General features: G+C 47.6%; 1 protein-coding gene, 1 long non-coding RNA gene and 1 pseudogene across 9 annotated transcripts in view, besides 1 other annotated feature; all 3 read left to right on the top strand.

Moving 5' to 3' along the window:
* Positions 1–5,591, top strand: part of GUSBP11 (GUSB pseudogene 11) — a 78,937-nt pseudogene extending 73,346 nt beyond the window's left edge. Inside the window, exon 12 of the transcript NR_024448.2 lies at positions 5,136–5,591. The product of NR_024448.2 is annotated as a GUSB pseudogene 11 (transcript). The remainder of the gene's footprint in view (positions 1–5,135) is intronic.
* LOC124905089 (uncharacterized) lies at positions 6,346–11,202 on the top strand. The gene is made up of 3 exons (XR_007068021.1): positions 6,346–6,395; positions 7,995–8,142; positions 11,168–11,202. It is a non-coding gene; the product is annotated as an uncharacterized LOC124905089 (long non-coding RNA).
* Positions 10,581–10,718: a silencer, noted in NCBI's record as "fragment chr22:23975547-23975684 (GRCh37/hg19 assembly coordinates)". NCBI's record gives its function as "represses an EF-1alpha promoter that drives an FKBP-Casp9 reporter gene in an ReSE screen in phorbol 12-myristate 13-acetate-treated (for megakaryocytic differentiation) K562 erythroleukemia cells {active_cell/tissue: K562(+PMA)}" and the evidence as "EXISTENCE:reporter gene assay evidence [ECO:0000049][PMID:32094911]".
* A 59-nt stretch (positions 11,203–11,261) lies between the features above and the next one.
* DRICH1 (aspartate rich 1) overlaps positions 11,262–26,528 on the top strand; it is a 51,937-nt gene continuing 36,670 nt past the window's right edge. For 4 of the 7 annotated variants that reach the window (XM_011530206.2, XM_047441388.1, NM_016449.4 and 1 more), the window contains exons 1-7: positions 11,757–12,262; positions 18,030–18,097; positions 19,174–19,195; positions 21,902–21,987; positions 23,463–23,484; positions 24,685–24,714; positions 26,421–26,503. In XM_011530206.2, the coding sequence (XP_011528508.1) occupies positions 12,055–12,262; positions 18,030–18,097; positions 19,174–19,195; positions 21,902–21,987; positions 23,463–23,484; positions 24,685–24,714; positions 26,421–26,503 (519 nt within the window). In that variant the 5' untranslated portion in view covers positions 11,757–12,054. Of the gene's footprint in view, positions 11,291–11,756; positions 12,263–18,029; positions 18,098–19,173; positions 19,196–21,901; positions 21,988–23,462; positions 23,485–24,684; positions 24,715–26,420; positions 26,504–26,528 lie in introns of those variants that run through there. The other 3 variants (XM_011530210.3, XM_011530208.3, XM_011530209.3) reach the window with 3 other exon arrangements.

Here is a 26,528-nt window from a genome sequence, read left to right as displayed (position 1 = left end):
TAATTTTTGTATTTTTAGTAGAGACGGGGTTTCACCATGTTGGCCAGGATGGTCTCGATCTCTTGACCTCATGATCCGCCCGCCTCGGCCTCCAAAAGTTCTGGGAATACAGGTGTGAGCCACCACTCCCAGCCAATATTACACTTCTTTTTTTTTTTTTTTTTTTTTTTGAGATGGAGTTCTGCTCTTGTTGCCCAGGCTGGAGTGCAATGGCACGATCTCAGCTCACTGCAGCCTCCACCTCCCAGGTTCAAGCAATTCTGCCTCAGCCTCCTGAGTAGCTGGGACTAGGCGCACACCCATGCCCAGCTAATTTTTTTTTTTTTTTTTTTTTTTTGAGACAGAGTTTCACTCTTGTTGCCCAAGCTGGAGTGCAATGGCACAATCTTGGCTCACCACAACCTCTGCCATCCAGGTTCAAGCAATTCTCCTGCCTCAGCCTCCCGAGTAGCTGGGATTACAGGCATGCGCCACCATGCCCGGCTAATTTTGTATTTTTAGTAGAGACGGGGTTTCACCATGTTGCCAAAGCTGGTCTCAAACTCCTGAGCTCAGGCAATCTGCCCACCTTGGCCTCCCAAAGTGTTAGGATTACAGGTGTGAGCCACGGAGGCCAGCCCAATATTGCACTTCTTAAATGCACTTGTCTATTCCTTAATTGTCTTCATTGTTATATTCTCATAGTTTTAAAAGAGTAAAGATTTTTTTGGGGCTGGGCATGGTGGCTCACGCCTGTAATTCCAGGACTTTGGGAGGCCCAGGTGGGCAGATCACTTGAGGTCAGGAGTTCGAGACCAGCCTGGCCAACATGGTGAAACCCTGTCTCTGTAAAAAATAGAAAAGTTAGCTGGGTGTGGTGGTGCATGCCTGTAGTCCCAGCTACTTGAGAGGCTGAGGCATGAGAATTGCTTGAACCCAGGAACTCAGGAGGCGGAAGTTGCAGTGAGCCGAGATCATACTACTGCACTCCAGGCTGGGCAACAGAGTGAGACTCAGTCAAGAAAAAAAAAAGCTGGGGGTGGTGGCTCATGCCGGTAATCCCAGCACTTTGGGAGGCTGAGGCACGGAGATCACGAGGTCAGGAGTTCAAGACCAGCCTGACCAATATGGTGAAACCCCATCTCTAGTGAAAATACAAAAATTAGCCAGGCGTGGTGGCACTCGCCTGTAGTCCCAGCTACTTGGAGGCTGAAGCAGGAGAATCGCTTAAACCCGGGAGGTGGAGGTTGCAGTGAGCCAAGATGCCGCCACTGCACTCCAGCCTGGGTGACTGAGCAAGACTCCATCTCAAAAAAAAAAAAAAAGTTTTTTTGAAAATAAGAAATAAAGGCCAGGCACAGTGGCTTACACCTATAATCCCAGCACTTTGGGAGGCTGAGGTGGGTGGATCACGAGGTCAGGAGTTTGAGACCATAATGGCCAACATGGTGAAACCCTGACTCTACTAAAAGTACAAAAATTAGCTAGGTGTGGTGGTACGCACCTGCAGTCCTAGCTACTTGGAGGCTGAGGCCGGATAATTGCTTGAACCCAGGAGGCGGAGGTTGCAGTGAGCTGAGTCGCATCACTGCGCTCCAGCCTGGTGACAGAGCAAGACTCCGTCTCAAAAAAAAAGGAAAAGAAAAATAAAATACCACTGGGCATGGTGGCTCATGCCTATAATCCCAGCACTTTGGGAGGCCCAGGAGCTCGAGACCAGCCTGGGCAACATGGTGAGTCCCCATTTCTACAAAAAAATATTAAAAGAAAATTAGCTGGGCGTGGTAGCACATGCCTGTGGTGCCGGCTACTCAGGAGGCTGAGGTGGGAGGATCGCTTGAGCCCAGGAGATCAAGGCTGCAGTGAGCTGTGATGGCGCCACTTCACTCCAGTCTGGGTGTCAGAGCGAGACCCTGTGTCAACAAATAAATTTTAAAAATCTTATATTTACCACACAAAACCAATACCAATTACTAGACCAGCTTCTAAGGTAGAAACACTCTGGTCTGAACCCCTGGCAGGGAACTTGCACCCAGTAAGCCCCAGTTCAACACCAAATCCTTGTACCAAAGAGAGTTTGAGATTAAAATCCAGAAAAGCAAAGTTCACACTTTTTGTGGTTTTAGAGTCTCAGAAGGTGGTTTTATTGTTTCTTAATTATATTGAGTCTTATTTTAGCTTTAAAGGGAATGTCACCGGGTGCGGTGGCTCATGCCTCTAATCCCAGCACTTTGGGAGGCCAAGGCGTGGGAATCACCTGAGGTCAGGAGTTTGAGACCAGCCTGGCCAACATGGTGAAACCCCGCCTCTACTAAAAATACAAAATTAGCCGGGTGTGGTGGTGCATGCCTGTAATCCCAGCTACTCTGGAGGCTGAGACAAGAGAATCGTCTAGAACGTGGGAGGCAGAGGTTGCAGTGAGCTGAGATCACGCCAGCCTGGGTGACAGAGCAAGACTCTGTCTCAAAGAAAAAAAAAAAGGAATGTCTAGATGCAGTAGCTAAGTACACAGAAGCCATTTCAGTGTGGGAGGCGAGGTGACTGAATCCAGGGACTCCAGGTTTCTGGCTGTGGGGTTGAGACCGCCCATGGTCATTGTGATGAGATGAAGACAGAAAATGAGTTGGGCTGGGGGAAGGTGGTCATCTCTGGAAGTGATTAGTTTGAGACTCCTGTTGGGTAGCCCACTGGGCAAGGTCAGTAGGCAGTTGAGGAGCTGAGAGGGTTTGGAGCTGAGATAGACTCCAGCCTCACCATGTGGGCAATAGTGGGGGTCACAGAGTGTAAAGACGGCCAAGAAAGAGGTCTGGGTGGGGGTCTGGGGAGTCAGCAGCCAGGCATGGGCCGTGGAGAAACAGATGCCGGGGAAGAGGAAAGGGGAGTCAGACCTCAAGGGGAAAAGAGTCACTGGAAGGAGGGGCCAGCTCTGTGTCACATCCAGCAGAGACACCAGGTACAGCAGAAGGACCTTGGACATGACCATGAGGAGGGCCTTGTTGGCCATGACCTGGGATGGATGGGGGTGAGAGCCTGGGGGACCACACCATGTCCCCAGTACACGAAACAGTGCCTGGTAGACAGGATGGATTTATGGATGGATGGATAGGTAGGTGGATGAATGGACAGATGATAGATGGATGCAAAGACAGATGAATAGATGGACAGATGGATGGACGGACAGACGGAATGAATGATCAGAAAAGGCTTCATGAACAAAGTGAGACTGAGCTGCATCTCCATGGGTAGATACAAAAGCAGAGGACTCTCCTCTTGAGTCAGGAATGACCCAATGTCCTGGTCCAGGGAGCAAGTCAACTTGGCTTGACTGCAGACACTTGTGGCAGATTTCAGAGGCCCTTAAAATGAGGCCAAGTGAGGTGGACAGGTCCGAGCCAGCTGAGGACTCCTCAGCCACACGGCACAGCTGCCTGAGGGGATGTGTCACTCAGGGAGTTGCTGGGACCTACTGGGCCCAGCGTTGCCATCAGCACCAACAGCTTCAGAGAGGGGGACATATGCTGGGGTGACTCCAAGGCTGTGGGCGGCACCTGCCTCAGATAGAGAACAGGCACAGAGACACTACTGGGGGACACTACTGGGATACTGGCCACCCCCCTGCCCTGTGCCTGGGTCACAGCCTACACACTGCAGCCCTGTGCCCCTCACACCCAGCAGGTTCCTGCTCCAGCGTGGCTCCTGGACTGGCGCCAGATGCTGGCCCTGGGGGTTTCAATCCAAGCATAATTCAGTGAAGCATGTGTTTGGCAGTGGGACCCAGCTCACTGTTTTAGGTACGTGGCTCTCACAACTTTCCCTAGCCTGTCGCACCCTCTCCTGTCTCTGCAAAAATCTGTTTTCGTTCTCTGGGGCTTCTTCCCCTTTGCCCTCCAAGCCTTAAGCACGGAACCCTTCCTTTCTCCATAGGGTCTGGGGGAAGCGGGCTAGTCTCAGGTTAACTGGCATGAAGGGCTCCCACAGTGGGAGCAGCCGCCTTCAGGTTCCAACAGTGGGACACAGCCTGGTCCTGGGGCCTGGGCTGGGATTGGGCAGGGCACATGTCTGAATGAGGGACAGAGGCCGGTTCTGATGAGGGGCCGTACGGTGGCCTTAGAGACAGTCCCTGGGACCCCAGGGTCTAGGCTGAGGGCTGGATGCCTATCCAGGCTGGGAGGGCCACACGGGGGCCTGTGGACACAGGGGTCATCCCAAGGGGAGACCAATGGAGGGCAGAGAGGGCTCTGGGTCTAGGGTGTAGCTCTGTGGCCTCTGCTGGGTCGTGAGGACATGGGGACACAGAGGGATGGGTGAAACTGGGAGAGGTCCCAAGGCCCAGCCCTCCCTGGACAGTCCCAAGAAAGGAGAGGGTCTCTTAGTGCAGAGATGTGTCTGTCCCTGGAGTCCCATCACCTCTGGGGCCCGGTGTCTGTTGAAGGGTCGACCTCCCACCTTCATTTGAGGAAGGGCACCTTAGACTCAGGAGGTGACTAGTGGGGAGTAAACGGGAGTGCAGAGAACTCCACGGCTGACAGGTGAAGTCCAGGGGTATCAGAGGCTGCTGGAGTGGGCATGGGGGCTGCGGTGCCCCGAAGTCTGTTAGCAGCCCCAAGAACCCAGCCGATGTGAAGGGTCCTGTGGTTGGGCTGGTGGGGACAGGGGCGATGGCAGAGCCCCAGGGTGTGTCTGGGTGGAGCCCACGCTTCACCAGGAGAGCTGAGTGGGCCAGGCTGGGGCATAGCCTGGTGCCCCAGGGGACGGGAAGCTCCAGGCCATGCCAGGCTTGGGCCTCCCCACACCCTGCCAGGTCAGTTTTGTGTGCTGTGAGGGAGACCCCTAGATTCCAAACTCAGACTCCAGAAACCAGGAAGGAGGGAGCACAGCCTGCCCTGGGTACACACGGGGAAACTGAGGCTGCAGAGGAAAGGGCTGGGCCAGGACACCTGGGAAAGGTGACTTGGGAAGGGCTCCTAGGAAGGCACAGGGCTGTCTGCTCTGCAGAGGGCTCCAGTGGAAAGGAGGGAATGAGGAGGGAAGGAGAGGCCCTGGGTGGACCAGACGGCCACACCATGAACCCTCCCAGAGACTTTAGACAGAGAGAGGCGCTCCACAACACCCCACACTCCCTCTGCCATCTCTCACCCCCTCCTCTGTCCACACAGGTCAGCCCAAGACTACCCCGTCGGTCATTCTGTTCCTGCCGTCCTGTGAGGAGCCCCAAGCCAACAAGGCCACACTGGTGTGTCTCATGAATAACTTTATCCGGGAATCTTGATGGTGACCTGGAAGGCAGATGGTACCCTCATCACCCAGAGCGTGGAGAAGACCACGCCCTCCAAACAGAGCAACAACAAGTACGTGGCCAGCAGCTACCTGAGCCTGACGCCCGAGCAGTGGAGGTCCCGCAGAAGCTACAGCTGCCAGGTTATGCAAGAAGGGAGCACCGTGGAGAAGTCAGTGGCCCCTGCAGAATGTTCATAGGTTCCAGCCCCCACCCCACCCACAGGGGCCTGGAGCTGCAGGATCCCAGGGGAGGGGTCTCTCTCTGCATCCCAAGCCATTCAGCCCTTCTCGCTGTACCCAGTAAACCCTCAATAAATATCTTTGTCAGCCAGAAATCCTGCTCCCTCTCTTCATTTCTTATCTCTCATATAATCTAATGCTTCTCCTGGGTTCTCAGTGTGGCACTGGGGGAATCCTGGCACCAGTGGGAAAGTAGCCTGGAGGAGAGGATCACAGTCTCCCAGGGGTGTCCCCTGGGGAAATAGGCCAGGATAGGAGTCAGCTCACTGGACACCAGTCCCTCCATTCTCTCCCTCCTCCCCTTCCTCCTTGCAGCTCAACCCCCAACTCGCTGCCTGCTTTCTGTAGGGAGCTATTTCTGGCTGAGCCTCCAGATACACCCTGTGTCCCTGTCCTGGTCTGGACCCTCTACCCACCCACGGCCTCTCTTTCCTCAGCCTGGAAATCCTACTCTGGGCCTGGAGTCCCTCTGCTTCTGGCCCTGGCCCCTGGAATGCCCTCCTTCCTCTCTGCGCAACTCCCCACCCCGAGAGCTGGACTGTCCAGGACACTCCAACACCATCAAATCCATGAGCTCTTACATTTTGGGCCCACCTTGATTCTTCACGTGACAGCAGGTTCAGAAGTGTGAGAAAAACAGGAGGAAGCCAGAAAGAAAACACACATGAAAGGCCTGCAAGAGGATCAGGACACTTGCAAAAGATAGGCTCTGAGCTCCCCAGGAACCAGTGCAAGAAGGGTAATAGGTGCTCCATCATTTCTTTCTTTTTTTTTTAGATGGAGTCTCACTCTGTCGCCCAGGCTGGAGTGCAATGGCTCGATCTTGGCTCACCGTAACCTCTGTCTCCCAGGTTCAACCAATTCTCCTGCCTCAGCCTCCTGAGTAGCCGGGATTACAGGTAGATGCTGCAATGTCCGGCTAATTTTTGTGTTTTTATTACAGACAGGGTTTCACCATGTTGTTCAGGCTGGTGTGCTCCATCATTTCTAAGAGATTAAATAAGTTTTCACTTGAGGGAAGTTGGTGTTCTCAATGCTGAGGCCAGGCATCTCCTCATAATTAAAAGTGGGGATGTGTTTTACCCAGGGCCTCACTATTGATGGGATTTGGGCTCCAACATGTGCACAGCTGACTGCCTGGCAGCCCTAGGACCTGGAGAGTTTCTCAGATGCTTGGCACAGAGAGTCACTGGCCATCTTTGGAGGAAGCATCATTTTGGGAAATGGAAAACCAGGTCCTGTGTTGGGAATATCTGTGAGGCTCCCAGGGTCTGGGGCTCCAGCTCCTCTCTGAGAAGGTGTCGGGGGAGAGAACAGGGCCCAGCCACACCCAGCCCCTCCTGCATGGTTCCTGCTCATCAGGGTGTTAGAGGGGTGGGGGCACTAGCAGTGGTCAGGCCTGTGTTTCTGTGGGTGGGGCCAGGGAGGGACCCTCGGTGCATCCTAGGGAGTCTCTCCCATGGCTCCTGTTTGACTTTCCTGTGGCTGCTGTCACAAATGACCCCTAAAACATCACACATTGGTTCTCTCCCTGGTCTGGAGGTTAGCCATCCAAAATGAATCGTAGAGTGCTAAAATCAGGGTGCCAGCTGGGCCAGGCTCCTTCTGAGGGCTCTGGGGAGAATCCATTTCCAGGATTTTTCCAGCTTCTAGAGGACGCCCTGGGCTCCTGGCCCCTTCTTCCAACTTCAAAGCCAGAGCTCAGCATCTTCAAATCTCTCTCCCACTCTTCTCTCTCTCTCTCTCTCTCCCTGCCAACTGTCTTCTCTCACCCTCCCTCCTTCTCTCCCTTTCTTGTCCTCCAGCCCCACACCTGCTGTCACTCTGACCCTCCTGCCTCCTCCTTTCCCTTATAAAGACCCCACCTTGGACCCACCCACATAACCCAGGATCATCTTCCACCTCAGGCCCCTTGACATCATCACATCTGTAAAGTCCCTGAGGCCACACAACACAGCACATGGACAGGTCCCGGGACTGGGACACAGCCGTCCCTGGGCCCTAATTCAGCCCAACCACAGCTCCTTTCCCTCCTTCCTCTCTCCTTCTCTGGGTATAAGAAGGGAATGCAGAGAGGTTGGTCAATGAATACACACTTACAGTTAGATGCAAGGAATGTGTTCTAATGTTGGATAGCAGAGTAGGGTGACTATGGTTAGCAATAATGTATTGTATATTTCAAAATAGCTACAAGAGAGAACTGAAATATACTCAACACATAGAAATGATAAATACTCAAGGCCATACCCCAAATATCCTGACTTGATGATGACATGGTGGATGCACGGAACCAAACAGCACATGCACCTCATAGAAATGTCCAATATTATGTATCAGTGTAATTTCTATGAATAAGAAAGGCAAAAAAAAAGAAGTTAAGCATAAACTAGCCATTTGACCTAGCAATTCTAGCCCTAGGAATTTATCTAGAAGAAATGAAAGCATGTGTTCCAAAAAGACGTGTACATAAATGTTCTCAGCAGCCTCATTCACTATAGGCAGCAACTGGAAACAACCCAAGTGTCCGTCAGCTAGAGAATGGATAGACCCATGTGGTCTGTGCATACAGTGGAGTACTGCTCAGTTACACAAGGAAAAGAAACTATGGATACAGGTCACAGGAGGGATGATCTTCAAAACATTACAGTAAGTGAAAGAAGTAAAACTCCACGAGGGAAGTTGGTGGGCATGGACGTGTGTTTGAACTGGCAGAATTTTACTCTGTTCATTGGGGTATCAGGTATTGAGTCCCTATTGACCAGGTACTGTGCTAGGTGTGGCCATTAGAGAAATGAGAAGCAGACACCAGCTCCATTGTGATGAGACTCACTCGATCAGCCATTTCTGATGAACACTCAGGTACCTTGACACTCCCTGCTCACATTTGCAGGCTTTACTTAATGCCACTTAAATCTCCCTATTCCCCAAGTCTTCTTTCTTTTCTTTTTTTTTTTAAGACAGAGTCTTGCTCTGTCACCCAGGCTGAAGTGCAGTGGCACCATCTCGGCTCACTGCAACGTCCGTCTCCTGGGTTCAAGCAATTCTCCTGCCTCAGCCTCCCAAATAGCTGGGATTACAGGTGCCCACCACCATGCCCAGCTAATTTTTGTATTTTTAGTAGTGACGGGGTTTCACCACGTTGGCCAGGCTGGTCTCGAACTCCTCCGGACCTCTGGTGATCCACCTGCTTAGGCCTCCCAAAGTGTTGGGATTACAGGCATGAGCCACCGCACCCAGCCCCCAAGTCTCCTTTCTTTCCAATTCCCCTTATCAGGCACAGCTTTTTAAAGCAATCCCTGCCATACCCATGGCTTCAATTGTTTTCTATATGCTCTGATGAGAATAAAATTCAAATGTTGTTTTTATATAACAGTTCTATTTTACATGACACCTCATTCACTACGATTGTAAATTCGAAGTTGCTCTAAGAAAGTAATAACTAAAAAGTTGTCATATTTGAGTATGTAAATTTTAGGAAATTTCCTAAATGGTTTGACTTTGTGGGTGTATTTTTTAAAACATGAGTTGTGATGTCACAGAATGGACTTAGCCTACAGAGGTTTCTGTCCAACTTTCTACCAGAGAGCTCCATTTCAATGCGATACTTAAGAGTCCAAAACTATGTGGTGTTTTTTTTTTTTTTTTGAGACAGAGTCTCACGCTGTCACCCAGGCTAGAGTGCAGTGGCACAATCTCGGCTCACTGCAAACTCCGCCCCCCAGGTTTAAGCAATTCTCCTGCCTCAGTCTCCTGAGTAGCTGGGATTACAGGTGCCCATCATCGCACCCGGCTAATTTTTGTAATTTTAGTAGAAATGGGGTTTCACCATGTTGGCCAGGCTGATCTCGAACTCCTGACCTCATAATCCACCCAGCTCGGCCTTCCAAAGTGCTGGGATTACAGGCGTGAGTCATTGCACCCAGCCGAAAACTATCTTATTCCCCATACCTATTCCTCTTCCTACATTGTCTTTGTAGGAGACATTCACTGCTATTTACCCAGTCCTTCAAACTAGAGCCTTAGCAGCCTGTTTTTCCTTTTCCTTCCCCTGTTCTTCCACATCTAATCCTCTAGCACTTTCTGTTCTCTCTGCCAAATGATCACAGAACTTCTCTGTCCACTTCAGTCATTTCTACTTCCTTTGGCCTTATCTGTTCTTCCAGATGAACATAATGTCTCTCTCTCTTTTTTTTTGAGACAGAATCTCTCCCTGTTGCCCAGGCTGGAGTTCAGTGGTGTGATCTTGGCTCACTGCAACCTCCACCTCCTGGGTTCAAGCGATTCTCCTGCCTCAGCCCCTTGGGTAGATGGGACTACAGGTACCCGCCATCATGCCAGGCTAATTTTTGTATTTTTAGTAGACATGGGGTTTCACCATGTTGGCCAGGCTGGTCTCGAACTCCTGACCTCAAATGATCCACTCACCTTGGCCTCCCAACATCATGTCTCTTAATTGGTCCCACTGGTTCCATGAGTCCTTCTCTATTGTGCAGAGAGACCTCACTGCAAACACATCTGATAGAGACTCCTCACCTCTGTGTGGTTCCGTGACTCTCATGTTTCCAGAATAAAACTTAAACTCTACTTCAACTCTACTGCTGGACAGTGAATGAGCCTTTGTATTCCAGGTTCATCCACTGTTTTGCAGTGTAGCCTCAGACAACTGAACTCTAAGCCTTTGTTTGCTCATCTGCCTGAACTCACTGAGCAGTTGTGGGACCTTGGGGAAGTTACTTGACTTTTCCCTCTAGATTTACGCTGTAAGATGTGTAAAATGGGACTATTTCTGAGGGTTAAATTAGTATGCCACAGTTGGAACACTGTCAGGCACATAATGCTTGCCAGATATTGACTATTTGTCTTTGTCCTATGAGGACAATGGTACCCCACTGTGGGGTTCTCAATTTTGTATAAGAAAATAATGTTTTATGATTTGTTAGTAAAAGAAATACCTGAGGCTGGGCATGGTGGTTCATGCCTGTAATCCCAGCACTTTGGGAGGACGAGGCGGGTGGATCACCTGAGATGAGTTCAAGACCAGCCTGACCAACATGGTGAAACCCTCGTCTCTACTAGAAATACAAAAATTAGCCAGATGCGGTGGCGTGTGCCTGTAGTCCAGGCTACTCAGGAGGCTGAGGCTGGAGAATCGCTTGAACCTGGGAGGTGGAGGTTACAGTGAGCCGAGATCGTGCCACTGCACTCCAGCCTGGTCGACAGAGCAATAGTCCATCTCAAAAAATAAATAAATAAGTAAATAAAAGAAATATCTGAATACCCCTGCCATGGAAAGAAGAAACAGAGCGAGAAAAGGGAGTTGGTAGGTCGTAGCATTACAGAACTGGGAAGGATGTGTTCAGTCCCTATTTTATAGACGAGGAGGGAAGTGTGATGTGTCCCAGGGTTTCACTGAGGATACACAGCCATAACTCTCTATTGAGAGTGGGACCAGGGCCCTGGGGGTAGCTATGGTCAAGTTGCAGACAAGAACTAACACTTGTAAGACAGGAGAGAAGCATTTAATTAGAAAAGCAGTAAAAAATTTGTGTATAACTACATTTGGTGAGCAAATGAAAGCTGTCAGACTCAGAAAAACAGAACTGCTGGTGGAACTGACTTTAGTAACTGGGGTTTTCTTTCTTTTGTTTCTTTTTTTTTTTTTTTTTTAAAGACAGTTGCACCTTTGTCACCCAGGCTGGAGTGCAATGGTGTGATCTTGGCTCACTGTGCAACCTCCGCCTCCTGGATTCAAGCGATTCTCCTGCCTCAGCCTCCTGAGTAGCTAGGATTGCAGGTGCCCGCCACCAGGCCGAGCTAATATTTTGTATTTTTAGTAGAGACAAGTTTTCACCATGTTGGCCAGGCTGGTCTTGAACTCCTGACCTCAAGTGATCCACCCCCCCCGCTCAGCCTCCCAAAGTGCTAGGATTACAGGCGTGAGCCACCACTCCCGGCCATACCAGGGTTTTCTATTGAGTTTCTTGCCAAGGGTGACTCGCAATAACAACTCCCCCTGCACTTAGCTCAGGACTGGAAAGCTCAGGCAGCATAGGGTGAATAAAAGCCTGAGTAGTGCAGTCCCCACAGAGGGGCAGGGGGGCCACAAGGTGGGCAGCAGCAGGGACAGGCATTATGAGGCATTGGGGGGGGCTGTGGGGCTGGACATTGTGAGTCACTAGCCTGACCTGGCTGTTTCCTGGTAACCAGGTGACATAGGAAGCTTTGTGGGTTATAAGCATCAGCCAGGGCCAGCAGCCCTCAGTCAGTAGCTCGCAGTGGAGGGAGGAGGAGCTCCAACTGTGCTCTTTGATGGCAGTTTTTGCACCTTTGGGTGCTTGTCATGTTCGTTTATTTTTCAAAGAAGACAGCAGGTCCCTGACCTCATAGACCAGCTAGTTTGGGAGGTGGCGGCAGAATAAGGGCTGAGGACCCAGATCTGCCTGGGGTCAGGCTGCTTCTAAAAGTGCAGGGCCACCCTCAGTAGTGTGGCTGCTAGGGCAGCACAGTTACAATTTCGCTGAAGGCTGAGGCAGGAGTGGAGAGGCATGGAGAGGCCCCATGGGGAATATACTGACCTGTTGTATCAACTCCCACTGTGGCTGGCCCAGGGGGAAGGACGCACCCTGTTATGAATCTGATACTGATATTTATGAGACTGTGGCTGCTGCAACATCAGAATCCACTACTGTAGAGCCTGGCAAGCTGGATGTGGGAGCCACGGAGGGCCAAGACCTGCAGCACATCAGCAACCAAAAGATGCCCACAGGTAAAAAAGCCACGGGTGCCGTTTACCCTCTGGCACACCTCTGGCCACCCCCACCCCCTTCCCTTACCCTCATCCCCAGAGACATCCTCAGCTTCCAGCTCCCTCCTGTCCATAGCCAGCTTTCCCAGGTCTGGGCATGGGGGACAAAGGCTGACTCTGCCTCCTGTCTTTGTCGTTGAGACTTTTTGATCTAGAAAAGGGAGAGCCCTTTTCTCAATGAAAATTCAAATACCCCAATTTTGGAGTCCCCATCCCATTCTCTAGCCTCACCTATCTGGCCGGTTTGGTACCTAAATGAAGGAACCAGCTAAGGGTCAGATTGTTTTTCTTCCATCTCTTAAGGTAGCTTATTTTTTGTAAATTTTATTTATTATTTATTTATTTATTTATTTATTTATTTTAGATGGAGTCTTGCTCTGTTGCCCAGGCTGGAGTGCAGTGGCGGGATCTCAGCTCACTGCAACCTCTGCCTCCTGGGTTCAAGCGATTCTCTAGCATCAGCCTCCTGAGTAGGGACTACAGGTGCCCACTACCACGCCCGGCTAATTTTTTGTATTTTTAGTAGAGACGGGATTTCACTGTGTTAGCCAGAATGGTCTCGATCTCCTGACCTGGTGATCTGCCCGCCTCGGCCTCCCAAAGTGCTGTGATTACAGGCATGAGGCATCGCGCCCGGCTCCTAATTTAATTTTTTTTAAGTTCCGAGGTACATGTGCAGGATGTACAGGTTTGTTACGTAGGTAAAAGTGTGCCATGGTGGTTTGCTGCACCTGTCAACCCATCACCTAGGTATGAAGCCCTGCATGCATTAACTGTTTATCCATATTCTCTCCCTTCCCCTGCCCCCTGACAGGCCCCAGTGTGTATCATTCCCTGTCTAACACCGTACGTATTCTAAGACCACTCCTTTGCTGATGACAAATCTAAGTGATGGTTCGCAGGGGACTCTCTTCCCTGCTTCTGTCTGGAGAGCCTGCCTGGCTTCAGGTTCCTGATAGGAGTGAGGACCTGGAGTGCAGTGTGAGAAACAGATGGCTCAGTGAAGAACTGTCATCATCCACTAGAGTCCCTGGAAACAGCCGTGTCATTTAGATGATGTGGGTTTGTGTGCATGAGGGTTGGGAGATAGCCAGGGGTGAATTAATGTGTAGTGTTTGTAAATGTGTGTTTTCCCCCAAAAATGTGGACCCGCATGCCCAGCACAAGTGCAAGTGTCAGTTTTCTTGAATTCCTGGCCTATGGTGGTCCTCTCACCTCAGCCTCCCAAGTCATGTCATTCTTCTAATAAAAAGGAAGAAAAACTTCAGCACCACCATACACTTTACATAAATGACCTCTTTTTCACTCAACACAGTGTACCTGAAGGTCAGTTTAATATCCCTACTTCTTAGAGAGAGAGAGAGTGTGGAAAGGAATGAACCCAGATTTTGACCTCCTGAATGGAAGAGGCAAAAGTGAACCCAGAAATGGGTCCCGATGTTGATGGTCTGCATTACTCAACCGTGTCATCACTCCACCGTGATATATGACCCCACACCAGGGAGTTCCAGCACCTATGCGTGCCCCTGGTAGTGGTAGTGGATGGCCTATAAGTGTGCCAAACATTGCCCACCATCAGATGGGGCCCCAGTGGTCACATAACTCTGGGTAGCAAAAGGTACACGGAACAATAGACGTTGGCATGGGCATTACTGTGAAATACACATAGAAAGCTCACAGGCTTCTGGTCAGCTCACAGATTCTGAGAAGTGTAAGGGATCACATGGAACAGTGCAGGTCAACATCTGTCAGTGCTGGGGTCATTCCTCAGCACTTGGTCAAAGCAGGGAAGGATCAGGAAGATATTGCATTGTATTTAGTAACATGAGTACCTCAAGCCTTAGAAATGCTCCAATCCATGGCCGGGCACGGTGGCTCACACCTGTAATCCCAGCACTTTGGGATGCCAAGACAGCAGATCACCTGAGGTCAGGAGCTTGAGACCAGCCTGGCCAACATGGTAAAAACCTGTCTCTAATAAAAATACAAAAATTAGCTGGCCATGGTGGCCCATACCTGTAGTCCTAGGTACTTGGGTGGCTGAGGCTGGAGAATCGCTTGAACCTGGGAGGTGGAGGTTGCAGTGAGCCGAGATCGAGCCACTGCCCCCTCCAGCCTGGGTGACAGAGTGAGACTCTGTCTCAAAAACATAAAGAAATAAATAAAAAGAAATGCTGCAATCCATAGCAGACAGACAAGGGCCAGTGCCACGTCAGAACTCAGGACAATATTATTATTAGCCTGGTGCCGATCACCCTCATTGGAGACCTCTTGCACCAGTAGGTTAGTGAGGCTCAACACTCATGTACTGATCCCCATGTACTGATCCCCATGTACTGATCCCCATGATGGACTGTCCCACTGTTGGGGGCTGGTGTGAGCATGAGCAGCCACTGACTCAATGGATGCACACACAGTGCAAATAAATGGAAGACATGGGCAGGGTGCGGTGGCTCATGCCTGTAATCCCAGCACTTTGGGAGGCCGAGGTGGGTGGATTGCCTGAGGTTAGGAGTTTGAGACCAGCCTGGCCAACCTGGCGAAACCCTGTCTCTACTGAAAATATAAAAATGAGTTGGATGTGGTGGTGGGTGCCTGTAATCCCAGCTACTCGGGAGGTTGAGGCAGGAGAATCACTTGAACCCAAGAGGCAGAGGTTGCAGTGAGCTGAGATCGAGCCATTGCACTCCAGCCTCAGTGACTGAGACTGCTTCTCAAAACAAACAAACAAACAAAACAAAAAATTAAAGAGAAGAGCGGAGGAGAAATATCTAACAGGGTTAGTACTCATATATCTGAGACCCCTTCTGAGTAGGAGTGAACAGGACCTGGCCTTCCTGTCTGCCGAGAGCATGGCATGGACATCATCCTAAATGCCTCAAGAATGGAGTTTCATTGCTTTCTCTTGTCTTCTCCATCTCTTTGTGCGATGATGGCCGTTGACACTGGCAGAAATTGGTGGGGGGGCAGAGCAGGAATCAGGTCCCCACTTCTCTGACACAGAGCAGACAGGACACAAGTCAGCAGGGATGGACTTCAGGGTCAGGACAGACACAGACAGGTCCCAGGCCTGATCTTCCTGGGGCTGGGACAGATGACTTTTTCTTTTTCACCTCTTATGGAAGTCACTTGAGGAATGGCCTTGAGGAGACACTATTTGCCAAGGGTTGTCTGGCTCAGAAATGTGTTTTTGTTTGTCTGTTTTTTGAGGTGGAGTCTCACTCTGTTGCCCAGGCTGGAGTAGTGCAGTTGTGCGATCTCAGCTCACTGCAACGTCCACCTCCCAAGTTCAACTGATTCTGCTGCCTCAGCCTGCTGAGTAGCTGGAATTACAGGCATGTGCCACCGCACCCAACTAATTTTTATATTTGTAGCAGAGACAGGGTTTCTCCATGTTGGCCAGGCTGGTCTCAAACTCCTGACATCAAGTGATCCACCCACCTCGGCCTCCCAAAGTTCTAGGATTACAGGCGTGAGCCACTGTGCCTGGCTGACGTGTGTATCAACTGGACAGAGCCCCCTAGCACTGAGCCTGTAGCTGCAGCACTCCTGAGTAGCAGGGGAGGTGGGGAGGGACACAAGTTCCAGTGCACCATGAGCTCAGCAGAGGGATGGGGACTGATTCCAGAGTCCAGCTCATCCTTGCAACTCTTCTGTGGAATCCAGCACACATCAGTTTCCACTTATTTTATAGAAGGTTTGGAATCTTCAGTGTCAAACTCTATCTGTGTTGTGTCTTCCCACAGGGTGGGTAGAGGGGCCCTGGCTATGGGTGTTTCCTGCCAGGGCAGTGACTGTGTCTTCCTCATTAGTCCTTATCCCAGAGCTCAGTCCTGGGGAGAACATGTTAGGCCCCATGGGCATTGTAATGAACACACCCCTGGGATGAGTTCTAGGTCGCCTCTGGGGTGGGATCTAGCTTAGTTGTGGAAATGTTCCCTTCTCAGCCTGTCCAGCCTGTTGAGCCCTACACCAATCCTGGAGGCTGCCCCAGTTTCTGAGTCAGGGTCCCTGGAGATGAAGTTGAGCTCCTGAGGACAGTGAGGTGCCCCTGCCCCTTGGCTCCTGCTGCTCTGATCCTGTCTAGACAGGCTGTGCAGGGCCACGCTCTTCCCCTGTGTGCACGTGCACCCCCTGCTGGAATCCCTCTGGACCTGGATGTTGTTCTCATTGTTGTCATATCCCCAGCCCCACACAGTGACTGGCCCTTGTGTAGATGCCCAGGAAGTAACCATAAACATATGGTAGGAGCAGAGCTGCAAACTATTTTGCAAGAAAACACCAGGGGAGGGGAGTCATGTCTTCCTCATGTCTGGATCTCCTGTGCCATCTAGTGAGGTTCTCAGTCATATCTGTGCCTCCTCATATTTAAATACATTTAACTATTTACAATTAAAAGTTCAGGGCCGGGCGTGGTGGCTCACACCTGTAATTCCAGCACTTTGGGAGGCCAGGGCCAGTGGATCATCTGAGGTCAGGAGTTCGAGACCAGCCTGGCCAACATGGTGAAACCCCATCTCTACTAAAAATGCAAAAATTAGCCAGGTGTGGTGACGCACACCTGTAATCCCAGCTACTTGGGAAACTGAGGCAGGAGAATCACCTGAACCTGGGAGGCAGAGGTTGCAGTGAGCCGAGATCATGCCATTGTACTCCAGCCTGGGCAGCAAGAGTGAAACTCCGTCTCAAAAAAAAAAAAAAAAAAAAATCAGAACCTCATCACAACAGCCACCGTGCAATGGCCCATCAGCCTTATGTTAATGAAGTGGAGAGATTTACATCCCCGCAGAATGCTCTTTCACATCTGCTGTGAGCCTGGCTGAGGGACCAATTGTTGAACTCCTGTAACTCAAAGCGTGCACATCAAAGTGGGAATCTCAGGGCTGTGAGATTGGAGGTGAGACCTGTAATGGGCCAGTGGAAGGAAAAAGTTAAAAGTGGTTCCTTCAGTTCCTCTTTCTCACTCAAAGGCTGGCAAGTGTGAGCAATGCCTTTTTAGAGACCTCTGACTCCACAGAGACCAGGGAGAGTCTGACAACACCTAGGAAAGTGCAGAGCAATCTTGTGCAACCCAGTGTGGCCTCACCTGCAGTAGGAGGCTGGGCGAGTTGCTCTCTGGAATAACTTCTTGCAGAGTTTTTGTCTCTTAATGATTGGCCAATGGACACCATCCATGAGGGCAGCTGCAATGAGGCAGATCTGCAGCTAGAGAATGATACTCTAGGAGGATCTCTGGGGAGCAGTTGAGTGACACCTGTTGCTTTGGAACCTAGGAAAAGGGCAATGAAGTCAGAACCAAAGGAAATATGTGTAGAAGTCTGACTTGTTCCTTTGGAATTTTAATAAGATAGATATGAGACAATTTGTATCCATGGGCTTTGTGTGCTGTGTTTGTAACCATTTTTTTTCTTGCTCTGATATTTAATGATTACCTTTCCCAGAAGACCAGTTTTTCCTATGTCACAGCAAACATCAAAGCCCTGATTTTTGATTGGTTAATATCTTCTGGGACTTCGGAATGCAAGAGTCTTATTAGGTCTGGGCACTGGCTAAGATGCAAGGTATCTGGTGAGACTCCCTCATGCTCACTACTTGAACACAGTTGTTTCTCTGAGATGGTCTCCGAACCTTCAGTCCCACGCTCCATGTGCCGCATCCAGCAAAGCTCCCTGAGGGACTCCCAGTCTCCAACCACCAGGGCACTGACATTAACTCTGTGTCCTTTTAGGTCCCCCTGAGGACCGCCTGAGTTTAAAATTTCTGCCATCAAGTGAGGAAGACAATGATGATGCCAAGGTAAGACCCCCTTTCTTTGCCTTCTAAGGAAATGTTGCTTTCCTGATGTCAGAAACAAATTCACCCATCTAAACCCAAAGAATGGACTCAGAGGCCTGCAGAACAGCAAAAGTAAGACTTTTAATGATGGTCTTGCAAGATCTGGGTGCAGACACACCCAGAACGGTTTCAACAAGCAATTTATCCCCGAGTGTGCAGGTCACTCCTCTGGTTCCTCATAGGCTGAGTACTATGAGGTCACAATCTTCCCGGGTGTCACACATCGATTGTTGGGTAGGGGCTTTAGGTATTTTTTTTTATGGTTGTCTTACTGCATTTTGTTGCAGCCCACACTGCATTGACATCCTAGTCAGCTCAGGGTCTCTTCAAGTATTTGACTTATGACCTAAGTAGTTGGGCAGGCTGATAAGAACAGACAAAGCGAGCTATTTTGCAGGCTAGTAAACTTTCAACTTAGACTAAACTTCTTTGGTTCCAGTGAGGGCAACTAAGTGGGGAGGAAAGGGAGCCCAACAAGCAGGCATTGCCCATCCAAGCAGGAGCCCAGCATATCCTATTTCTTCTGTTTTTTTGCTGACCTACACTGGTTCAAGACAGTTTGTGTTAAAAATGGACCACTGTATACATTATTTCCTTCACCTGATTTCTTTCCTTCTCAATTAATTTTGATATAAAAATATAACAAGACACATTATGTACAACGTACACAATTGTCTTTGTGAGGATGGAATTCAGTGGGAGTTTCTTTTCATCTAATACATGACACACTAGGATGTTTTTAAATGACAGCATCCATCATCAACTGTAATGCAGAGGCATTTTCCTCCACACCAGTTTTCCTCTTTAAATTAGGCATTGTGCATTTACCAACCTAAATCAACCTCAAAGAAATTCTGTGGGAAAAGCTCTTGTCTTTTCACTCATGTCCTCTATGCTAAAGTGTTTTGTCTTTGACATGGACTCAACCACTGTTTCAAAAGTAGTTTTCTGAAGTCATCAAGAGAATAACTGATCTGTGTAGGGGGTGCAGCAGAATTGATCTGATCCTCATAGCATCTTCTTTTGTCTCATTGCAGATTTTACCATCACCTGTCCAGGGTACGTACCTTGAACTAACTCACTTTCTGAGAAACAAACTTGCTAGCTTTAATATATAGAAACCTTAATCTGGATTCCTGTTAAAAAATATTGGGGGTCTGGTGAGAGCAAATGATTCTGCGAGTGTATAATTATGAGCAGAGAGGATGTAGAAATGTGTGTGAACCCAGAGGACCAATGAGGAGATTTTGTGTGAGCCAGTGTGTCTTCACCTGGAGTAGAAGTGAGTGCACCTCTCACTGACTTATCCTGATGTTGGTAAAGATACCAGAATCCTAAAGAGTGGATTCTGGAGAACTTTAGTGGGGAAGACTATGCTTTTTCAGGTAGGTAACAATACTTCAGATGGGGTCTAATAAAACAGCATTTACAAGAACCTTCATGTTATACCTGCTGCTTGGGAGGCTGAGGGAGGGTGTAGAAACAGAAAAAGAAAAAGTAAATAGAAGCTGAGTTTGTTATTTTCAGAGTTTAATGTCATCAGGTGAGAAGTATTATGTTTATGGGCTATTGAGTATCCTGTGTTTTTGATCATTTCTTCTTGCTTTATTATTTAAAGATGATTTTTCTGAGAACACCTGCTCTTTTCTGCCTGTGCCACTGCAAAATCTCAGAGCCTGTGGTTTGGGACACAGTTCTGTCACAAGCAGTTACTCACTCCTGGAGACAGAATTCTTCTGCGGTGTGCCAGATGCATAGGAGAAATGGATCCTCACCTTATGAACTGTTAGGTTTCATGGCAGCACATTCATTTGTCTGTGCTTGCTGTTTACCTCTGGTATCAAGACATCTCCCTGAGTGTGGAGGACAGAATGAAAATTCACTCTGGGCTCACTGCAAAAGGTCCAGTGTCTTGGAAATGGAGGGAGAAGCACAACCTTGAGCACACTGTCAGCATTCTGTTGAGAGAGAAGCACAACCTTGAGCACACTGTCAGCATTCTGTTGAGAATATGCAGTTTTACCATCATTTGTGGAAGAGACTTTCCTTTCCTCATTGTGTATTCTTGGTACCTTCATTGAAGATCAGCTGACTCTGTATGTGTGCATTTAATTCTGGGCTCTCTATTCTACATCTGTGATACTTATGGGTGCCCCCAAGCTAGAAGCATGCTGTCTGAATTTCTGTTTTTTGTAGATTTCAATCTCATGAATGTGCATCCACCAACACTATTCTTTTCCAACATTACCAAGTTTATTTGAGGCAAATGAAAATTCATTAAAGTCTGAGGATTATCTTTTCCATTTCTGCACACATGGCTGTTACCAGTTTGATAGCAGTTGTTAATCTGTAGATTATTTGTGTAGTATTGTGTGTTAGTCAGGCTCAGTCTTCCTATCCATGAATATGGGATGCCTTTCTACTTATTTGTATGTTCTTTACTTTCTAGAATCTTTATGTTGACAGCTGATTAGTTAGATTTAACAAGACTGATATAAATTTGTGATTTCTATTTTTTTCTTTTCTTTTTTGTTTTTTGAGATGGAGTCTCACTCTGTCACCATACTGGGGTGCAGTGATGTGATCTCTGCTCACTTCTACCTCTGCCTCCTGGGTGCAAGTGATTTTTCTGCCTTATCCTCCTGAGTAGCTGGGACTACAGTCATGTGCCACCATGCCTAGATAATTTTTGTATTTTTAGTAGAGATGTGGTTTTACCATGTTGGCCGGGATGGTCTCAATCTTTTGATGTCGTGATCTGCCCGCCTCAGCCTCCCAAAAAGTGCTGGGATTATAGGCATGAGCCACCATGCCCAGCCAAATTTGTGATATCTTGTACCAATATTTTTTGGTACAATAGGCATCAAACAAAAAAAATTTATGTAAGCTAGTTAACCAAAAAATCACGCTTTTCCTCATGGACATTTTTTAATGAATTTGTTCATTTGTATTGGTATACATTTCCTCATTTCCATAGATCATGTATATTTGAACCTGGAAACTTATCCTCATGGCAGAAAGTGTTCAGAGTCACGTCTCTCAGATTCACTGGTGTAGTTAGAGCAGGCTGTGTGAGCTTGGCCTGTTTGAATGAAACCTGATCTTTACGGAATCTCCTGAGGGAGAGTGACACAGAGCTGATGAAGCCCTTGATTACAGGGGCCCAAAAGGTTGTGGGCACACACCATTATTCCAGAAGAAGACTTACAAAGAGGAAATCATGACTATTTTTAATTGTAGCATTTTCATATTCTTTTTTAAATGGTCTCTATGAAAAAGAATGTGTGATTAATAGAGTAATTTGGGTAAAATTGAGTCCATTTCACCAATAAAATAGACTTTTAATTAAGTAATAGATCTTTTAAAACAGATGCTAAATGTAGTACCAGCATAATTGGATCCTAGTGTACTGACACGATCTTGAATACATTAAGAAAATACTGTTGGTTTTGAAGAGTTTCAAAACATTTGAGAGGTAGGAAGGCACTCTTCCATTGACCCTTAGTGTATGCTTTAGTTCCATTTGGGGTTGACTGTTTTGTGTTGCTGCATGATGCCTCTAGTACAAGGCCAAGGCCTCCATGTCTCATGTCTTTCCTGCTCCCCTCCTCTGCCATCCCTCTTCCACTCAGGGGAATAGCCCAGCATTAACTCAGTCCATGCTTGTTAATCAACCACCTCCATACACCACATCCAGCAAAGCTCCCTGAGTGACTCACAGTCACAATCAACCAGGGCACGGATCTTTCCTCTGTGTCCTTCCAGGTTCTTCTGAGGACAACCTGAGTTTAGTATGCCTACCACGAAGTGAAGATGATGACTGTGATGATGATGATGATGATGATGCCCAGGTAAGACAATCTTTCTTTGTCTTCTAAGGAAATGTTGGTTTTCTGATGTGAGAAACAAACTCACCAGTCCAATCCCAAAGAATGGACTCAGGGAGCTATAAACAACAAAAGTGAGATTTTCTTTCCTTTCTTTGTTTCTTTTTTCTTTTCTTTTCTTTTTTTGTTTTGTTTTGTTTTTGTTTTTGTTTGAGACAGAGTCTCACTCAGTTCACCAGGCTGGAGTGCAGTGGTGCAATCTCGGCTCCATCTCCTGGGCTCAATGAATTCTCCTGCCTCAGCCTCCCAGGTAGCTGGGATTACAGGCATGTGTCTTCATGCCCAGATAATTTTTGTATTCTTAGTAGAGACGGTGTTTTACCATTTTGGCCAGGCTGGTCTCGAACTCCTGACCGCAGGTAATCCACCCACCTCGGCTTCCGAAAGTGCTGGTATTACAGGCATGAGCCACCCCACCTGGCCGAAAGTGAGACTTTTAATGACAGTCTTGCAAGATCTTGCAAGATCCGGTACCTTATGGGCAGACACACCCAGCACAGTTTCAACAAGCAATTTATCCCCTAGTGTGCAGGTCCCTACCCTGGTTCCTCATAGGCTGAGTACTATGAGGTCACAATCTTCGTGGGTGTCACATATTGATTGTTGGGGAGGGGCTTTAGGTATTTTTTTTTTTATGGTTGTCTTACTGCATTTTGTTGCAGCCCACAATGCATTACCATCCTAGTGAGCTCAGGGGCTCTTCAAGTATTTGACCTATGACCTAAGTAGCTGGGCAGGCTGATAAGAACAGACAAAGCGAGCTATTTTGCAGGCTAGTAAACTTTCAACTTAGACTAAACTTCTTTGGTTGAAGTGAGGGCAATTAAGTGGGGAGGAGAGGGGGCCCAACAAGCAGGCATTGCCCATCCAAGCAGGAGCCCAGCATATCCTATTTCTTCTGTGTTTTGCTCACCTAAACCAGTTCAAGGCAGATTGTGTTAAAAATGGACCACTGTATACATTATTTCCTTCACCTGATTTCTTTCCTTCTCAATTAATCTTGGTATAAAAATATGACAAGGCGCATTATATACAACATACACAGTTCTCTCTGTGAGGATGGAGTTCAGCGGGAGTTTCTTTTCATCGAATACATGACACACTAGGATGTTTTTAAATGATGGTGTCCATCATCTACTGTAATGCAGAGGCATTTTCCTCCACACCAGTTTTTCTCTTTGGATTAGGCATTGTGCATTTACCAATCTAAGTCAATAGCCTTAAAGATACCAATACCAATACCTTAAAGATAAATTCTGTGGGAAAACTCTTGTCTTTTCCACAGGTGTTCTCTATGCTAGAATGTTTGGCCTTTGACCTTGACTCAACAACAGTTTCACAACTAGTTTTCTGAAGTCATCAAGAGAATAACAGATCTGTGTAAGGGGTGCAGCAGAATTGATCTGATCCTCATAGCATCTTCTTTTGTCTCGTTGCAGATTTTACCGTCACGTGTCCAGGGTATGTACCTTGAACTAACTCACTTTCTGAGAAACAAACTTGCTGGCTTTAATATATAGGAACCTTAATCTGGGTTCCTGTTAAAAATATTGGGGGTGTGGTGAGAGCAAATGATTCTGCAAGTGTATAACTATGAGCAGAGGGGCTGTAGAAATGTGTGTGAACCAGAGGACCAAGCAGGAGATTTTGTGTGAGCCAGTGTGTCTTCACCTGGAGTTGGAGAAGTGAGTGCACCGCTCACTGACCTATCCTGATGTTGGTGGTTATAAAGAGTGGATTCTGGAGAATCTCAGCAGGGAAGAGGTTACCTTTCCAGGTGGGCAACAAGACTTGAGGTGGGATCTAATAAAACAGCATTTCCAGGAACCTTCATGTTATATCTGCTGCTTGGGAGGTGAGGGAGGGTGTAAAAAGAGAAAAAGAAAAAGTAAATATAAGCCGAGTTCTTTTCAGAGTTTAATGTCATCATGATGAGAAGTACTATGTTTATGGGCTTTTGAGTATCCTATGTTTTTGTTCACCTCTTCTTGCTTTATTATTTAAAGTTTATTTTTCTGAGAACACCTGCTCTTTTCTGCCTCTGGCACTGCAAAATCTCAGAGTCTTTGGTGTGGGACACAGTTCTGTCACAAGCAGTTACTCACTCCTGGAGACAGAATTCTGTGGTGTGCCCAGATGCATAGGAGAAATGGATCCTCACCTTATGAACTGTTAGGTTTCATGGCAGCACATTCATTTGTCTGTGCTTGCTGTTTACCTCTGGTATCAAGACATCTCCCTGAGTGTGGAGGACAGAATGAAAATTCACTCTGGGCTCACTGCAATAGCTCCAGTGTCTTGGAAATGGAGGGAGAAGCACAACCTTCAGCATCTATCAGCATTCTGTTTTTTCATGTGAATGAGAATATGCAGTTTTACCATCATTTGTGGAAGAGGCTTTCCTTTCCCCATTGTGTATTCTTGACAACTTTGTTGAAGATCAGCTGACTCTGTATGTGTGCATTTAATTCTGGGCTCTGTATTCTATATCTGTGATACCTCCATGCTGGAAGCATGCTGTTTGCATTTCTCTGTTTTTTGTAGATTTCAATCTCATGAATGTGCATCCTCCAACACTGTTCTTTTTCAACATTACCATGGTTATTTGAGGCACATAGAGATTCCTTAAAGTCTTAGATTAACTTTTCCATTTCTCCGCAGGTGGCTGTTACCGGTTTGATAGCAGTTCTTGTGAGTCTGTAGATCATGTGTGTAGTATTGTGTGTTAGTCATGCTGAGTCTTCCTATCCATGAATATGGGAAGCCTTTCAACTTATTTGTATGTTTTTTACTTTTAGAAACTTTATGTTGACAGCTGATTAGTTAGATTTAACATGACTAATATAAATTTGTGATTTCTTTTTCTTTTTTTTTTTTTTTTTTGAGACGGAGTCTCACTCTTGTCACCATACTGGGGTGCAGTGATGTGATCTCTCCTCACTGCCACCTCTGCCTTCCAGGTTGAACTGATTCTCCTGCCTTATCCTCCCTAGTAGCTGGGACTACAGATGCATGCCACCACGTCCAGCTAATTTTTGAAGATTTAGTAGAGACGTGGTTTTACCATGTTGGCCAGGATGGTCTCGATCTCTTGACCTCGTGATCCCCCCACCTCGGCCTCCCAAAGTGCTGGGATTACAGGCATGAGCCACCGCGCCTGGACAAATTTGTGATATCTTATACCAATATTTTGTATGTCTGAATGAATAGGCATCAAGGTAAAAAAATTACATAAGCTAGTTAACCAAAAATCACCCCCGTACTCATGGACATTTTTTCATGAATTTGTTCATTTCTATTGATATACATTTCCTCATTTCAGTAGATCATGTATATTTGAACCTGGAAACTTATCCTCATGGCAGAAAGTGTTCAGAGTCACCTCTCTCAGCTTCACTGGTACAGGTAGAGCAGGCTCTGTGAGCTTGGCCTGTTTCAATGAAGCCTGATCTTTAGGGAATCTCCTCAGGGAGATTGACACAGAGCTGCTGAAGCCCTTGATCACAGGGACCCAAAAGTTTGTGTTCACACACCATGGTTCCAGAAGAAGACTTACAAAGAGGAAATCATGACTATTTTTAATTTTAGTATTTTAATATTTAATTTTTTAAATGATCTCTATGAAAAAAAAAATTGTGATCAGCTGGGTGCGGTGGCTCACCCCTGTAATCCCAGCACTTTGGGAGGCCGAGGTGGGTGGATCATGAGATCAGGAGATGGAGACCATCCTGGCTAACACGGTGAAACTCCAACTCCACTAAAAATACAAAAAAATTAGCCAGACGTGGTGGTGGGTGCCTGTAGTCCCAGCTACTCGGGAAGCTGAGGTAGGAGAATGGTGCAAACCTGGGAGGTGGAGCTTGCAGTGAGCTGAGATCACACCACTGCACTCCAACCTGGGGGACAGAGTGAGACTCTGTCTCAAAAAAAAAAAAAAAAAAGAATGTGTGATCAATAGAATAGAGTAATTTGGGTAAAATTGAATCCATTTCACCAATAAATTAAGTAATTAATCCTTTAAAACAGATGCTAGATGTTGTACCAGCATAATTATGTCCAGTGTACTTACACAGTCTTGAATACATTAAGAAAATACTGTTTGTTTAGAAGAGTTTCAAAACATTTGAGAGGGAGGAAGGCACTCTTCCATTGACCCTTAGTGTGTGCTTTAGTTCCATTTGGGGTTGACTGTTTTGTGTTGCTGCGTGATGCCTCTAGTACAAGGCCAAGGCCTCCATGCCTCATGCCTGCTCCCCTCCTCTGCCATCCCTCTTCCAGCATTAACCAGTCCATGTTTGTTAATCAACCACCTCCATATACCACATCCAGCAAAGCTCCCTGAGTGACTCACAGTCACAAACAACCAGGGCACGGATCTTTCCTCTGTGTGCTTCCAGGTTCTTCTGAGGACAACCTGAGTTTAGTATGCCTACCACGAAGTGAAGATGATGACTGTGATGATGATGATGATGATGCCCAGGTAAGACAACCTTTCTTTGTCTTCT

Source organism: Homo sapiens, chromosome 22 (genome assembly GCF_000001405.40).
Source record: "Homo sapiens chromosome 22, GRCh38.p14 Primary Assembly".
Taxonomy (NCBI): Eukaryota; Metazoa; Chordata; class Mammalia; order Primates; family Hominidae; genus Homo; species Homo sapiens.
This window is presented reverse-complemented; position numbering and strand designations above follow the sequence as displayed.